This window comes from Homo sapiens, chromosome 6, assembly GCF_000001405.40.
Source record: "Homo sapiens chromosome 6, GRCh38.p14 Primary Assembly".
Classification (NCBI taxonomy): Eukaryota; Metazoa; Chordata; class Mammalia; order Primates; family Hominidae; genus Homo; species Homo sapiens.
Window position 1 is genome coordinate 106,058,839 of NC_000006.12, and position 15,228 is coordinate 106,074,066.

At 40.4% G+C, this 15,228-nt stretch overlaps 1 protein-coding gene across 2 annotated transcripts in view, besides 1 other annotated feature; it reads left to right on the forward strand.

The window, feature by feature from the left end:
• PRDM1 (PR/SET domain 1) overlaps positions 1-15,228 on the forward strand; it is a 117,249-nt gene that overhangs the window by 66,149 nt on the left and 35,872 nt on the right. The window lies entirely within an intron of this gene.
• Positions 5,096-5,606: an enhancer, noted in NCBI's record as "NANOG hESC enhancer chr6:106511809-106512319 (GRCh37/hg19 assembly coordinates)". NCBI's record gives its function as "activates a minimal SCP1, AML or CMV promoter by ChIP-STARR-seq in primed H9 embryonic stem cells {active_cell/tissue: H9 hESC(primed)}" and the evidence as "EXISTENCE:reporter gene assay evidence [ECO:0000049][PMID:30033119]".

Sequence of the window (15,228 nt, forward strand, 5' to 3'; positions counted from 1 at the left end):
GGATTATAAGCTTGAGCCACTGCGCCTGGCCACCAGCATATTTCTTTAACTTCATCTTCATAATGTCAGTGTCCTGTTCAAGAACTCATGGTTCTTAAAGATCACTCGATGAACCAAATTTAAATTTATAGCATTCAGAGTTGCCATCCATCTAGTCAGTAATTCTTTTCATCCTACAAATATTTCTTGAGTACCTACATGTATCAAGCATTGTCCTAAGTGCTGAAGATACAGCAGTAAAAACAACACAGACAAAACACCACAAGACCCCTGTTATTCTGTAACCCCAATAGGGGTTACATTCTAGAGGGAGAGACAGATAAATCAATAAACAAGCACATTAATTAATTCAATTTCAGGTAAGATAAAAAAGAGTGATTATGATAGTAGAAATAAAACAGTGTAAGGGAATAGAGAAACAGGCTAGGACACTATTTTAGATAGAGCTCTGTAGACCAAAAAAGACTCTCTGAGGAGGTGGCATTTGAGTAGAGACTAATGAAATGAATGAGTGATCTGTGTCACGTGTGGTAGAAATTCAAAGGTGGGAATGTGCTTGTTTGTCAAAGAAATAGAAAAGGAAACAAACAAAACAAAAACCGTGTCTGGAGCCTAGAGAACAAGTGGGAGAATGAAAGGAGATGAGACCCAAGAGATAGGTAGAACATGGAAGGGCCTGGTTTGCATACCTTGGCAAGTAAGGAGCTTTAATTTCATTCTGAGGATGATGGAAAGCCCTTGGCAAGTTTTACCATTGGAGTGACATGATGTGATTTATGCTTTCACAGATTTCTGAATGTAGATGAAGAATACATGGTAGAGGACAAGAAGGGAAGAGGAAGATCACTTAGTAGACTCATTCATTCAACAGTCTAGGCAAATGATGACAGAGCCTTGGCTAAGATAGGAGTGGTAGAGATGGTGAGATATGTTTGGAGGATTTGGCAAATATTTGGAAGATAAAGCAAGTAAGACTTGCTGATGGATTGGATATAGGTGGTGGGGACGGAGATAGGGAGAATCATAAATAACTGATGATTCCTAAGTTCGATTTTGGTGGATGGAGGTGCCAATCACTGAGATTGGAAGATATGGAGAAGAGTAGCTTTGGAAAGAGAGAATCAGTTCTGTTTTGGATTAAGATTGATATGTCCATAAAATGTCCAAATAAAGTTGGCAAGTAGGAAGCTGTTTATAGGAATCTGATGCTCAGGGGAGTGTTCCAGGCTGGAGATGAAAATCAGGAGTTGTCAGCATGTAGTTAATGTATTCAATCCAGACAGTTATTTAAATTCAAATATTAGATGAAGTAGTTGAACTCCAAGTCATGCTATCTTTTCAAAAAGGAAAATGAGGATCCAGCAAAGGACACTAGATGTAGTGGCCAGTGAGGAAGGAGGAAAACAGGAGAGTGGAATAGTCCAAAGTCATGTGAAGAATTTTCTCAAGAAGGAGAGCACGATTGTGTCAAGTGCTGCTCAGAGATAAACAAGCCGAAAACAGAAAATTGCCCATTCATTTGGTAACTTGGAAGTCACTGGTGAGCAGTGTGAAAGGTGATTTTAGTGCAATCATGGGTGAGAAAGCTTGATTGCAGAGCATTGGGGAGAGACTGAGATGAGAGGAAGTGGAGGCTGTAGACATAGATAACTCACTCGAGTACTAGGGATTGGCATAAGTAATGAAAGAGGAGGAACTATATAATAGAAAATTATATACAAGGAAGGATGGATCATAGACTTGAAGCTGGGTGATAAGGGAAGTGAGAACAAGTGGTAAATACTGGAGAATGAAAAAGTAGGGCAGTTGTTCATTGGATTGGAAGAGCTGATGTAATTTGAGGAATTTCTGGAGTCAAAGCAGTAAAAACGTGCTGGGAAGACTAAATAGGAGGAGGTTAGAGACAGAGGCTTTGGAGGACATGTGCTTCATGGCATGATGGCCATTAAGTGAACTGGGAGTGGGTGGCTGGGATGGGGATAAAGGGGGAGAAAACAATCAGATGATGACAGAGGTAACAAGAACTAATGGTAGGGAGGATGACAGTGAGCCAGATGTGAAAGTCTTCCGTCATCAAGGGGGATAGACCAGGAGATCTGGGGATGATGGCAACAAGCAGAGGTGTAGCAGACACCTGATGTCATGTGCTTCAAAAGAACTGGGATTGGGATTGGGGGAAATGATCTGGAAGCAGTCAGAGAAGCAAGGAGAACCCCAACCTCAATGCCAAGTCCCCTGCTTCTCTTTCCGGTTTTTAGCCGGTGTCCCTGGATTTAGCCATGGCAGTTAGATGGTTCCACTGATCCGGACTGAGTGCCTTCCAGCAGTTCAGCAGTTAGATGGTTCCACTGATCCGGACTGAGTGCCTTCCAGCAGTTCAGCAGTTAGATGGTTCCACTGATCCGGACTGAGTGCCTTCCAGCAGTTCAGCAGTTAGATGGTTCCACTGATCCGGACTGAGTGCCTTCCAGCAGTTCAGCAGTTAGATGGTTCCACTGATCCGGACTGAGTGCCTTCCAGCAGTTCAGCAGTTAGATGGTTCCACTGATCCGGACTGAGTGCCTTCCAGCAGTTCAGCTCTGCCTTGTCCTTAAACACCTGGCTAAAGAGTTACATGCCTGCCAGGATGTCCCTGGTTTTCCTTCTGGCTGAATTCATCTGCAGTGGGCATGATAATCACGTCCCATAGCTCATTGTTATCTCAAACATATTTTCCAGTATGTGATTAGATTCTGAGTTCCTCTACTTCATTTTGGCCACCCTCAACAAATTTGGCTCTTATACCCCAGCAACAAGTACTGTAGTGTAAGGACATGTGATTTCTTATTTGAGTTGAATGTCTTAATACGGAAATTGAAGCTTAGAGACATTGAGTGATGGGCTTAAGGCTTTCAGCTAATTAGGGGCAGAGGTCTTCATGCATTTTCAAGGCATTGGGAGATTTTGATGATATCCAACTGGCAAATTCAGCTCTGGCCCATCCATGATCATTTCTACTTTAGTTAATGGAGTTAGAATTTAGACCTATCCAGGAGGCCTAGAAGTGAAGTGACAGACTTTAAAGCACCATTACAAGATATATTCAGGAGAGGATCTATCCTAAAGTTAATTCTGTTGATCCATTTTGATTATCAGATTGGCAAAGATGAAAATAGCTGAAAAATGCCAGTATAGGCAAGGGTGGGGGAAAAACAGCTGTCAGTGAGGTTGTGAATACATTCATCAGTGTTGCAGAGCAAGTGGGATGTATCTATTTAAAATTGTAAAAAAATCTTTTAGACCCCACTGTCTACATGGCTTGTTTTGATAATTCTTTTAGGATATTTATAGAGGTTCTTGATCATTTCAAATTTGGAACTGCCTATAGAATCTTAAAAATACATTTTTACTATACGGGAACAGATCTTTGTCATGTGCAGTATTTCTTTTTATTCTTCAAGATCTAAGTATTAAGGGTAATTTTCTATTTGTCCTTTGGAAAAGTGAAATTTTAATTTTTCTTCTCATAGGGAAAGAAAATGTGTAATCCCTTCATGAGGCTAATCCATAACATGAAAATTCATATCTTGAAAGTGATTTTCCACTGATTTATACAGAATAATTTGAGATGTATTTCCAGTGCTCCAGATGCCTCTGCACAGTTGTTGATGGGAATGTGGAGGAAGCTGGCTCTTACTAAAGTAATTTTAGTGGGATGTATACAAAAAATATTGGCTGCACCTGGCCCTTTCTAAGAGTGAAATGTCCTTTATAGCAAATTGCTCTAACAAGAGTTATTCCTGTATAGAAAAGGTTTTGAATAGCTTTCAAAGCGTTTTCCAACATAACTCCCTACCCCTCCTCCAACACACACACCATTTTGAATCATAGGTTTTGACTAAGTTTTGGCTTGCTGCTGCTCAGCCTGCAACAGTTGGTTACTAAACGGGAGGACTACTAATGTGTTCAGAGAATAGTGGTTCTCTTCTGGTTGCTGATAGGAGGGTTTGTTGGGAAGGAATGGGAGTGTAAATGAATAATCAGTGCTGGTTTCTGTTTTTAAGAGTCAAAGGAAATGGCAGTCCCCTCTCATTTCACCTCCCACCCCCCAAAAACGCCTAAATGAAGATAGATGGATTCCCTTACCAGCAAAGGGCGAAGGGGATGCCCTCTATCTGCAATAGGAATGGCGGGGTGATTCGTGGGTCCCCGCAGATTTAGTCCTTTCGTTGTGTTGTTTTCCTGGGGCTTCCTGACTGTGACCACTGCTCAGCTCTTAAAACTTCTACCTTCAGGTCACGCGAAGGTCAATGTAAACTAACTCAACACCTCCTTTCCAGATCCTTCTTCAAATGGCAAGAAAGACCAGGGGAAATAATGAGCTTGGATTTTCAAAGGCTGCTTTCTACACCAAGTATGTGCACTGGGAGTCTTTTGTATTTTGGCTGTAGAGCAGATAATCTCAGCACCAACTAGTATGGTCTAATGCTGGTTTCACAAGTAGAGTTTTCTTGGTCTTAATTGTATCCTGCCTATAAATGTCTCACACCCCTCCTCCTACCAAATAATGAAAAGTCACATTTTAAAGCAAAAACGTGAATTGCTGACATGTCAGGCTAAGTTTTCTCCTCATTTTCAGGTATTCAGGAATTAGGTGTGACTCCCTGCCCTGTGTGATACATATTTTCTCTGGGGCATCTCTTCATATATAAAGAGAGTGAGTCAATTTAGTAATTCCTAGTTCCTTTAAAAATAATTTCTAAAAAAAATAGGAAAGAAATACATTATGATCAATCCCCAAAATATTTATTAGTCAATTCTGGAAATTCCATGTTAAGTTTACGACATGCTGAATCAAGTTCTTGACCAAATCATTTGTTAGCTTGAGATTAAAAAGATGGGGCAAGGAGAACAGCTGACATGGAGGGTAGAAGGCAGAAATGTGTCAAGAAGCTTTTGCAATGTTATTTTGGTTAATTTCCCCTTGTATGCGAGTCTTATTTAAAGCAAATTATTCATCTTCATTGTGTCAGTGTGGCTTGTAGGGATTTAGCCTATATTCTGTTTACTTACATGTTTTAACAGAGTGCAGAATAGAGAATAGCTTTGAATTTAAAACTAGCTTAGAGAGTTCAAAGCTCACTCATTCTGCAAAGGGTAATAATGCCCTAGTATTAAATTTTTACCCCAAATCCGGCATCTGGGATGGACCCGATTGCAAGAGGAAGTACATTTTTCATAGATGAAAGGGAGAAATCACTGTCCCATCTAAAAATAGCATTGTATTTTCCACCAGTTTATATCAGCTGGAGGTAGGATTAAACAGTAGTTGTCTAGAAGAAAGAGACAGTAATTGAGTGTGACTGTTTCCTCTGCAAAGGCCTGGCCCAGGTGGTGAAAGTTAAGTACTGTCATTCAGATAAGGCCCAAAAGCAGTTAGCCTCGATGTCTATTTGGCTTTTCTGTAAAATATCCTCTCTGGGTGTTGAGCTGTGGACAGACGAAATCCAGGCCTGTTCACAGGGCAGTCACAGTGATCACTCAGGATCAGTGAGATGCTTAGCCAGCGGGGAAACTGTTGGGCAGTTTAAAACACAGGTGGATGTTTTTGCAATGAGTAAAAGAGCCTTGAAGAGGATTTGCCAAATGACTCAAACCTGATGTTTTGAGGACCACCAGAATAATTCTACTCCTATGTGAAAGGGGAGATGGGAAGCAGTGCAAGAATGAGTACTTGTCGTCTGAGGGCGTGCGGCCCAGCCTCAATTTATCTTGACCTCTAATAGCAGGAAAATCTTCTCTCTGATTTTCCTGGCTGTATAGGCATAAGTTGGGTCCTTATGTTTCAGATGTTTCCAGAGCTGGTTCTCCTTGGTGAGAAGGAAAGAATGTATGCTTGGCCAAAGTCCTTACAGATGCTGAATTAAAGCTAGCATTGATCAGGAGACTTTCTGGGGATAGGGTGGGAGCAGAGAACAGCACAGAGCCTTGGAAAGAGCCTTGAGAGGCTTGCAGATTCTGGAGGGGTTTTCAGCCCAGCCACTGAATTGCTTTTTGAATTTGGGGCAGTTGCTTAACTGAATCACCGTTTCCTCTTCTGTAGAAGAGAGATGATGCTCTCTGCTGTTAGTCTATCTGGTCTTCAGTAGGACCTCTGCCAGCCACACTGGTTGTCCATGTGACTAACTGTGCACAGACTGCTGGAATGGCTGAGGTCTGCCATGGATGGGTTTATTCTGATCTCTGGGGTAGTTGGAGGCTGTTTTGATGGCTAGAGGAGGTCTGTGGCTTTAGTCTTTTTGTTGATCTTATGTATTTATTGAACAAGTGTTTCTTTTTGTCAAGTTTTTTGTTTTTTTAAACAGACCAGGTCTTGCTATGTTGCCCGGGTGCTGGACTCAAACCCCTGGGCTCAAGCAATCCTCCTGCCTCAGCCTCCCAAGTAGCTGGGACTACAGACATGTGCCACCACACAATCTTATATATTATTTATTCAACAAATACTTCTTGAGTACCTACTATGATTAGACCTGCCCCTACACAAACCAATCCATAAGAGCCAGGCCCTAGGTGACAGTATATTTTCAGAGAGCATCCTATAATTTAGCTCTTTTATAGCGTCTCGTGTTGTTAATAAGCTGAAATGTACACTGGTTAAAAGTCTGGAAGGAGGAAAGTGTAATCAACAGTTCACTTTTTCTTATGTGTATCATTATCATGTATCAGTAATGTTCAGGTTATCGTAATTATATATTAAAAGGGCTACACTTTTGGCACACTAGTATGTTTTTAATTACTGCACAAAAGGTAATACAGGACTAGGCTGGCTGCCCAATAATATATAAATATAGAAAATGATTATGTTATTTGTAGTTTCTCAGTTTATTTTAAATAAAAACTGGGTCAGCAGGCCTTCAGATAAGAGGTTAGGATAAAAGAAGATTGAGACTTCCCTGCTTCCATGGATTGAACCCATGACTTCCAAAATCAGGGGTCTGCCCCATAATCCTAATGGATTGACTTCCAAAATTCCTTGGATTTGTCCTGCTGTACTTGTCTCTCTAGGGCTTAGCTGGATCCCTGCAGATAGATATTATGGTTTACATACAGTAATTCCACTTAGTCCAGCTGTAAATTTAAGTCTATTGTATTAATACAACATTGAAAGGCAGCCTTGCCCTTGCCCATGGAAGCTGAGCCTGTCTTTCAGATGTGTTTAGCAGAAAATCAAGGATTTTCAATTAGTTGGTTGGGAGGCCCTTGGAGAAACAGCCGCCCTGCCTAACCACCCATTGTCTATGGTTTCCGCTTGCTCCTTCCAAATGGGACAAATAAAGAGATTCTGTGCGTGGTCATTAATAGGCAAGCTTTGGTGGGGGCTTTGTTCTTAAATGGGGGCTTTATCTTATCCCTGCTGGTTAAGCCCCTCCATGTACTCCTCACCTGTCATAACTGTCATACATTTAATTCATCATGCTGGTGGACAGGAGCTAGCTGATCATGTTTAAATGGAAGCGGGGTGAGCTGTGAGGAGGGCTCGGTCACGTCAGTCTTAGAACTTTACCCTCAAAGACGATTATCAGATTTTAATAAAGATTTTTAAAATAAGATTTTAATCAAGTAGGCAGTTTTGTGAAGGAGAATTTTCTGCTTCATGATTCTCCCACAGAGCAGGTTGGATTTTAGAATCCAGCATTTCAAAAGATAGTACAACAAAATATGTTTAAGATTCTTGCATCCAAATTTAAAATACAATAGACATTCAGAAAGGGCATTCTTCTGTTCCTTTCCTGTCTAACTTTTTTCCTAATTATAAAAGTAATATTCATTCTTAAAGATTTGAAAAAATACAGAAAAGAAATCAATAGCATTTCTACCACCTGGTTCTAATTGATTAATATTTTGTGTATGTGTTTCTAGTCTTTTTTTCCTGTGGGTATACATATATACACATTTTCCACCAAAAATGCTTTACAGTAAGTAATGTCAGTTATGGATCCGAGTATTTTCTTCATCATTACATATCTACTGCAACACTGTTCTTTATTATAAAATTATGATATTGCTTATGGTAAAGTATTTGAACCATACCTGTGGACATAGTGTGCCAGGCCCTTTTCCGGATGCTTCATGTGTATTAAGTGATTTAGTCTTCACAATCTCCCAGTGAACTTAGTGCTATTATTATCTCCATTTTGCTGATGAAGAATGAGAGATGTAGGGAAGGTAATTAACTTGGCTAAAGTCAGACAGCATGTAAATAGTAGAGCCAAGATCTTAACCCAGGCAGGATGACCTCAGAGCCAATTCTCTTCACCACCATTACAAACAGCCTCATAGAATTTGCTTGCATAAATAAGACATTTAACCGATTCCACATTGTTAATCATTTGGCTTGTTTCCAGTTTTTCAATATTATAAACAGTGCTTATGGTCAAAAACTTAGTGGATAATTCTCTGGTTGCATTCCATTACTTCCCTAGAATAAATTCCTGTAAATGTAATATCTATGTTTAAATGTATGATGTTGGGTTTCCTCAAAAAGCTAAATATAGAATTACCATATTACCCAGCAATTCTACTACTAGATATACACCCAAAAGAATTGACAAGGACTCAGATACTTATATGCCAGTGTTCATAGCAGCATTATTCACAATAGTGGAAGCAACCCATGTGTCCCTCAACAGAAGAATGGAGAATCAAGATGCAATATAAGACATAAAAAGGACTGAAGTGCTGATATATGCTACATGTGGATGAACCCTGAAGACATTGTGCTAAGTAAAATAAGCCAGACACGAAAGTTCAAATACTGTATGATTCCACTTCTATGAGGTACCTAGAAAGGGCAGAATCAGAGACACAAGGTAAAATAGAGGTTACCAGGGGCCGGGGAAAGGGAGGAATGGGGAGTTATTGCTTAATAGGATCAGAGTTTCTGTTTTGAGTGATGAAAAAGTTTTGGGAATAGTGGTGATGGTTGCATAACAGTGTAAATGTAATTAATACTACTGAGTCGTATGCTCTAAAATGATTAAAATGGTAAATTTCTGTTTTATATATTTTAAACCACAATAAAAAAATGTACATTTGGTAAAAATTTAGAATATCTTCAGCAACAACTTATTATTTTAAAAAATTCAAAGCAATTTATATATAACTTATCTATATTTATTTTGCATAGGTAAATATACTCACATTGTTCAGAATTGTAAAGGTACCAACAGGTATACAGTATACAGTGAAAAGTCTACACACACTCCAGCCACCCTGTTCTTTTTTTTTTTTGAGATGGAGTTTTGCTCTTGTTGCCCAGGCTGAAGTGCAATGGTGTGATCTCGGCTCACTGCAACCTCTGCCTCCTGAGTTCAAGCGATTCTCCTGCCTCAGTCTCCCTGGTAGCTGGGATTACAGGCGGATGCCACGACGCCCAGCCAATTTTTGTATTTTTAGTAGAGACAGGGTTTCACCATGTTGGTCAGGCTGGTTTCGAACTCCTGACCTCAGGTGATCCACCTGCCTTGGCCTCCCAAAGTGCTGGGATTACAGGTATAAGCCACCGTGCCTGGCCCACCCTGTTCTCCTCAGAGTAGCAACTGTTCTCAGCTTCTTGTGTAGCCTTACATATGTTTGTCTGTGTGCAATATGTATATTCTCCTTCCTTCCTTTTCACATAAGTTATAGTATCTTGTAAACCATTCATTTAAATTTGTATTTATAGAAACCTCTCCCACTGTAACTCCTGCACTTTCCAAAAGCATGGTTAAATTCTCCTTCTACCATCCACAGTCATACATGGGAACGTTGTTACCACAAGCTGTACTGAGCTGGGGTTCTGGGTCAAGAGATGGGCATCCTTGCCTGAACACACAGTGCACTCTTCAGAAGGGACATTTTCAACTCTACAAACAGTGACAGCATCATGTCATCTGCAAAGAAAAGAGGACATACAGGCATTTTTCTTTCCCCACATAAGGAAATTATGTTACCCTCCCTAATTTGTTGAAGAGAGGCAACTTTTTTAGGAATTTGGGCTGTGAACATTCTCTGTTTGGAGGCTATGGTACATCCCCCATCTGTGGCCACTGTTAGGTCAGCAAGGGGCAGAGCCTTCTTCAGCTGCAGGTGACTTCCTATCATTCACCCATCTTTGTGCCTGATGGTCTATCTAGTGGTGTGGGGTTGCAGAAAGCACACCAGGTTGTGGGGATAGACTTCGGATTGGCCATCAGCTTGACTACCACTAGCCATTGCCTTTGGATGGTCACTTTGCCTCTCCTGTAAAATAAAGGGCTTCTATAGGGACCCTTCTGGCATCTAGAGTTTACAAAGTGTTTAGTAGCTTAGCACAGGGTCCAATCAATTACAAAAACTTAAAACACATACAGTTGAGAACAAATTTTGTAACTTGATTATATATGACTCCCAATAATGTCTAGGTTTAAAATAAATAAAATAGCAGTTCTTGATAAAGCCATAAACGAAGATGCTAAAACTGCCTGATGACACAGAGCTTTAAAAAAAAAAATCAAAGTTATCAAAATTGTTTGTAGACTCATGCAACTCCAAAGTGGCGTTAAGTGTTAATAAATGAAAGCATCTTTAGCACTTAGGGAAGATATATGGGCTTTTTCCTTTCAACAGCAATAGATACCTGGAATGTCCTTTTATAGTTGTAACAATCATGGAGAGAAAGCAAACTGGAATCTGAGAAAGGTGCTGGATTTGAAGATTTAGATGACGGCATCGCCTCACTCTTCTATGGTTTGGCAGCCCTCTCCACTGCTCAGATACCGTGGAGAAAGAGGGACGAGCTTCTCAGATACTCCAAATGACACGTGCCAAACACGTGGAAGGTAAATCCCCTAATACAGTCTGTTCTTCCAGCATTCCCTGGCAGTCAGCCAAGCTAAATATTTCTGCTGGATAAAAAATGCACTCTCGTGTGCTCCACTGTAAACTGGTTGCCTGACTTTAGTGGAAGAGGTTGCTTCGGTGAGGAGAATGGGAAATGAGGAGTTGGTCTCCAACACCCTGTGTGTGCATTTTTCACCTTAAAAAAAGGTCTCTACATTATTTGTGGCCTGTGACTGTGTTAACTGATGCTAGAAGGAAGGAGAAAATTGGGAAATAGATTTAATGCAATTCTTCCCTCTCCGCATCCACCACTTCTCCCTCAATTTTTTTTTGGTGGTTATCTTTTCAGATTTCCTCAGTGGCTGTCATTTGTGTCTGTTGCATGTTTTTTAGCTAAATCAATCTTCAAAGGCTGTTACATTTGGTCAAATGAGAGACCTAACATATGGACTAGTGGGTTTGTGTCAGATGGGGATTATAGTTAATTGAAATTTATGACAAAACTGCTGACTTCATTAAGACTAATTAGAGGAATAGAATTTGGAATCAACATTTCAGATACCCCCTTCTAATTGTTTTAGATGTTTTTCTTTTCCATAAATGGTAGCACATTTTTAGTCATTGCAAGAATACAAATGAAATTATGGTACACTTTTGTATCTGCTTTTTTAATCCAGGGACTTACCTCAAGCATTCTTTCATATCACATTTTAAACTTTTTAAATGCCTGAATAATACTTATATTATATTTGCCTTACCACAATCTATTTAATAATTTCTGTAAATTTGAATATTCAGGTTGTTTCTAGTGTGTCATAATTGTACATAACATTGTAACTAATATGCTTATATAACTTTGCTCAAATTATTTCCCTGTGGATATATTTCTATAAGTATAATCATTTGGTCAAAGGTTATAAATCTCTAAGGCTCTTGGTATATATAGGTAAATTTCTTTTCAGAAAAGTTATACCAACAAAGTATAGTTTGTAAATATTTAGACATTTAAATTTAACCTAAAATTTCAAGACTTTCCATCTCTTTATATTTTCCTCTGTGTAAATATTGGTAATATTGTTAATATTTGAATAGTAACCCTATGGCATAGTGCTTCTATCTTTTGTGCATTTGACAAACATATTGGGCTCTGACTGTGTGCTAGGCATCATGCCATACCCCAAAGATTGGCTTTGCTACTTTCAAATATTTATTCTGAAGGCAATCTTCCAGATTTGAACAACCATGTTTCTTTGAACAACCATGATTTGTAATGACATGTTTGAACCATCTACATTAAGAATGCATCTTATTGGCCTGATGCAGTAGCTCATGCCTGTAATAGCAGCACTTTCGGAGGCCAAGGCAGATGGATCATTTGAGGTCAGGAGTTCAAGACCAGCCTGGCCAACATGGTGAAACCCTGTCTCTACTAAAAATACAAAAAATTAGCCAGGCGTGGTGGTGGGCACCTGTAATCCCAGCTACTTGTGGGGGCTGAGGCAGGAGAATTGCTTGAACCTGAGAAGGGGAGGTTGCAGTGAGCCAAGATCACACCACTGTACTCCAGCCAGGGGGACAGAGTGAGACTGGCTCAAAAAAAAGAATGCATCTTATTATGCCACCCATTCATGTTCTAATTCAGAGAATGAGGAGAATTATATGTATATGTTATATATGTATGTATGTATATGTAAGTCACGTGTGTATATATATATATACACACACACACACATACATACATACATACAGGTATCTCCAATAAAAATTAATACAGGAAGATAACAATGCTGATCCACTTCCCATCGATTTTGCATTGATTTTCTGGTACTGGATATTGCATTGCTGTACCCATCCATACACTTGCTGGTGGTCTCCTTTCCAAGCCACAGTATTCACTCATAACTGGAATTAGGGGCACAATTTGTGTGGCCACAGACCCAAGCCAGCCTAAGTGACCCCTCTGAGTACAGAACTCAGGTCCTTGGCCTCATTATCCCAGTTCTTTGTTAATCTCAGAGGTGGATTGTCTGTTATGTGGTATCAGTCCAAGCCATATATTCAGATGCCATTCCTGGGAATGTTCCACAACCACAGTATATTTTCTTTGCTTGGAAGGGAGGGTGGGTGAGAGTTAAGGAAGTGTTTTAAGTGTAGATATCATCTAAAAGGTTGGCATCTGATTAAGTAAGGCAGTGGTTCCCAAACTTGACAGCACATTGGAACCACTTGAGGAACTTTGAAAAATACTGGTGCCTGGCTCCCACCCCAGCATTCTCAAGGTTCATTAATTGATTTGAGATGCAACTTGGACATCAGGATATTTTAAAGTTTCCCAGGGTATTCTACTGTGCAGCAAAGTTTGGGGACTACTGAAAGATTTTATGGGGCATATTTTAATGACCTACTATCAATGTGTTCCATTTTCTGATGCCCTTGGCTGGGCTTTTGCAGTTGTGTTTACACCAACTCATAGACATTTATCTTCTTCGCCTATGGTGAGGAAAAGATGTCCTTCATACTTCTTAGCTGTTTCACTGGGGGCAGGAAAAGAGAAGAGAAGTAAGGAAAAAATTCACATTCTAAAAGACAGCAACAACTAATTGAATCTGGACATTGTTTTTTAGGGCTATTTTGGGGTGTAATATGTAGGTCTTAAGCAGAATTCCAGATCGCAAATGAGGTAGCTCTGGGAATCGTGACCTTCCCTGTCCTCTCTCCACTGAAGTGCAGCATGCAATTGGGTGTGCCTCACCTGAGACTAAAGTATCTCATATTCCCCAAGCACAACTCTTCTATTTTCTGTTATAGAAGGGGGAGGAATAGAAGAAGGGAAGAATATATATAGAGAGAACAATTCCCTCTTCCTTCCCACAGTTAGTCCCACAGTCTTTTCTCTATAACCCAGTCCTAATAAAACTCAAGACCCGGATAGCTGGATTTCAGCATCACTTTGGGGGGCTCTGCCCGGATGTGTGTGTGGCTTCTCCTGCTGTCTGCGGTGCCCCTTGTGTTGGGGAGCTGCAGGGCAACCTTCTAACCATCTACATCATGAGCCCCGGGTAAATGAGAACAGAAACATGACGTGGTGGATTGAGCTGTTCTCTGGAAAGAGGATGGTTTCAATACTCCTCATCCCACACAGCTTCCAGGGGTGCTTTGAAGGGAACCTTACGCCAGTAGGCCTTTGAGCTTCCCTGGAAGACGTAGCCTATGTTGTGTACAGATTTGACTCTGGTGGGCTGAGGAAGGGGAAGTAATGATGTTACAAGGGAGTAGTAGAAGGGATGAGAAGTGGCTGCCGGCTCTGCTCTTCACCATGTGGCAATTAACAGGAGACAAATGTCCAAATCCTGGTGACAAATAAATTTGTTTGCCTGTGTGCATATATATCACTCTAAACCCAGAGTATCTCTCAATTTCCTCTTTTCTTTTTTTTTTTTTTTTTGTTTGTTTTTGAGACAGAGTCTCACTCTGTCGCCCAGGCTGGAGTGCAATGGCGCAATCTCGGCCCACTGCAACCTCCACCTCCTGGGTTCAAGCGATTCTTCTGCCTCGGCCTCCCGAGTAGCTGGGATTACAGGCGCCCACTCTCATGCCCAGCTAATTTTTGTATTTCTGGTAGAGACAAGGTTTCACTATGTTGGCTAGGCTGATTTCCAACTCCTGACCTCAGGTGATCCACTCACCTTGGCCTCCCAAAGTGCTGGGATTACAGACATGAGCCACAGCACCCGGCCTCAATTTCCTTTTGATTAGGTATTAAGGGCAATACTGTATCATCATATATCATATTATTTCTTCAATTTAAAAAATGTTCTGAATAATGATTAAGCCATTTACTGTCTATGTTCTCTGGTCAGCTGGACAGCGTTAAGGAACTCTTATTTTTATTTATTGCTTTGCCTAGGTAATGTGTGGCTAAGTATTTTATTATTTAAATGTTATTTGTGATTTTTAAAATTTATGTGAAAAGAGAAAAGATCACAACTTAGTAAGTGATTTCAAGAAGTATATTTGTTGGAATCATGATCAGTCACTGTACATGGAATCCCAGGCCCAGTGACCCATGAGGAGGGAGGCCTGGCTATAGTATTGACACAAATGCAGGTCCCACATCCTCATCTGCATTCCTTAGAGGCCAGATGTGACTTTGGATTCAGAATTTTTCAAATGTTAGAGAGGTGATATTGAAGCATATACCCTCAGTGAGGTGTTCTTATTCAAATGTTAGGGTTTCTGCAGTAGAAAACATGATCCACATGAGTGGAGACAAAGACTACAGACAGCCTCTGGTCAGCATCCGTGGGAGCCATGCAAAATTTGGGGGGAGGGAAGGACCATGGGAAGGCTGTAATTCAGAGTGATAATTCTGGTGGCAGTGGTGCTGAT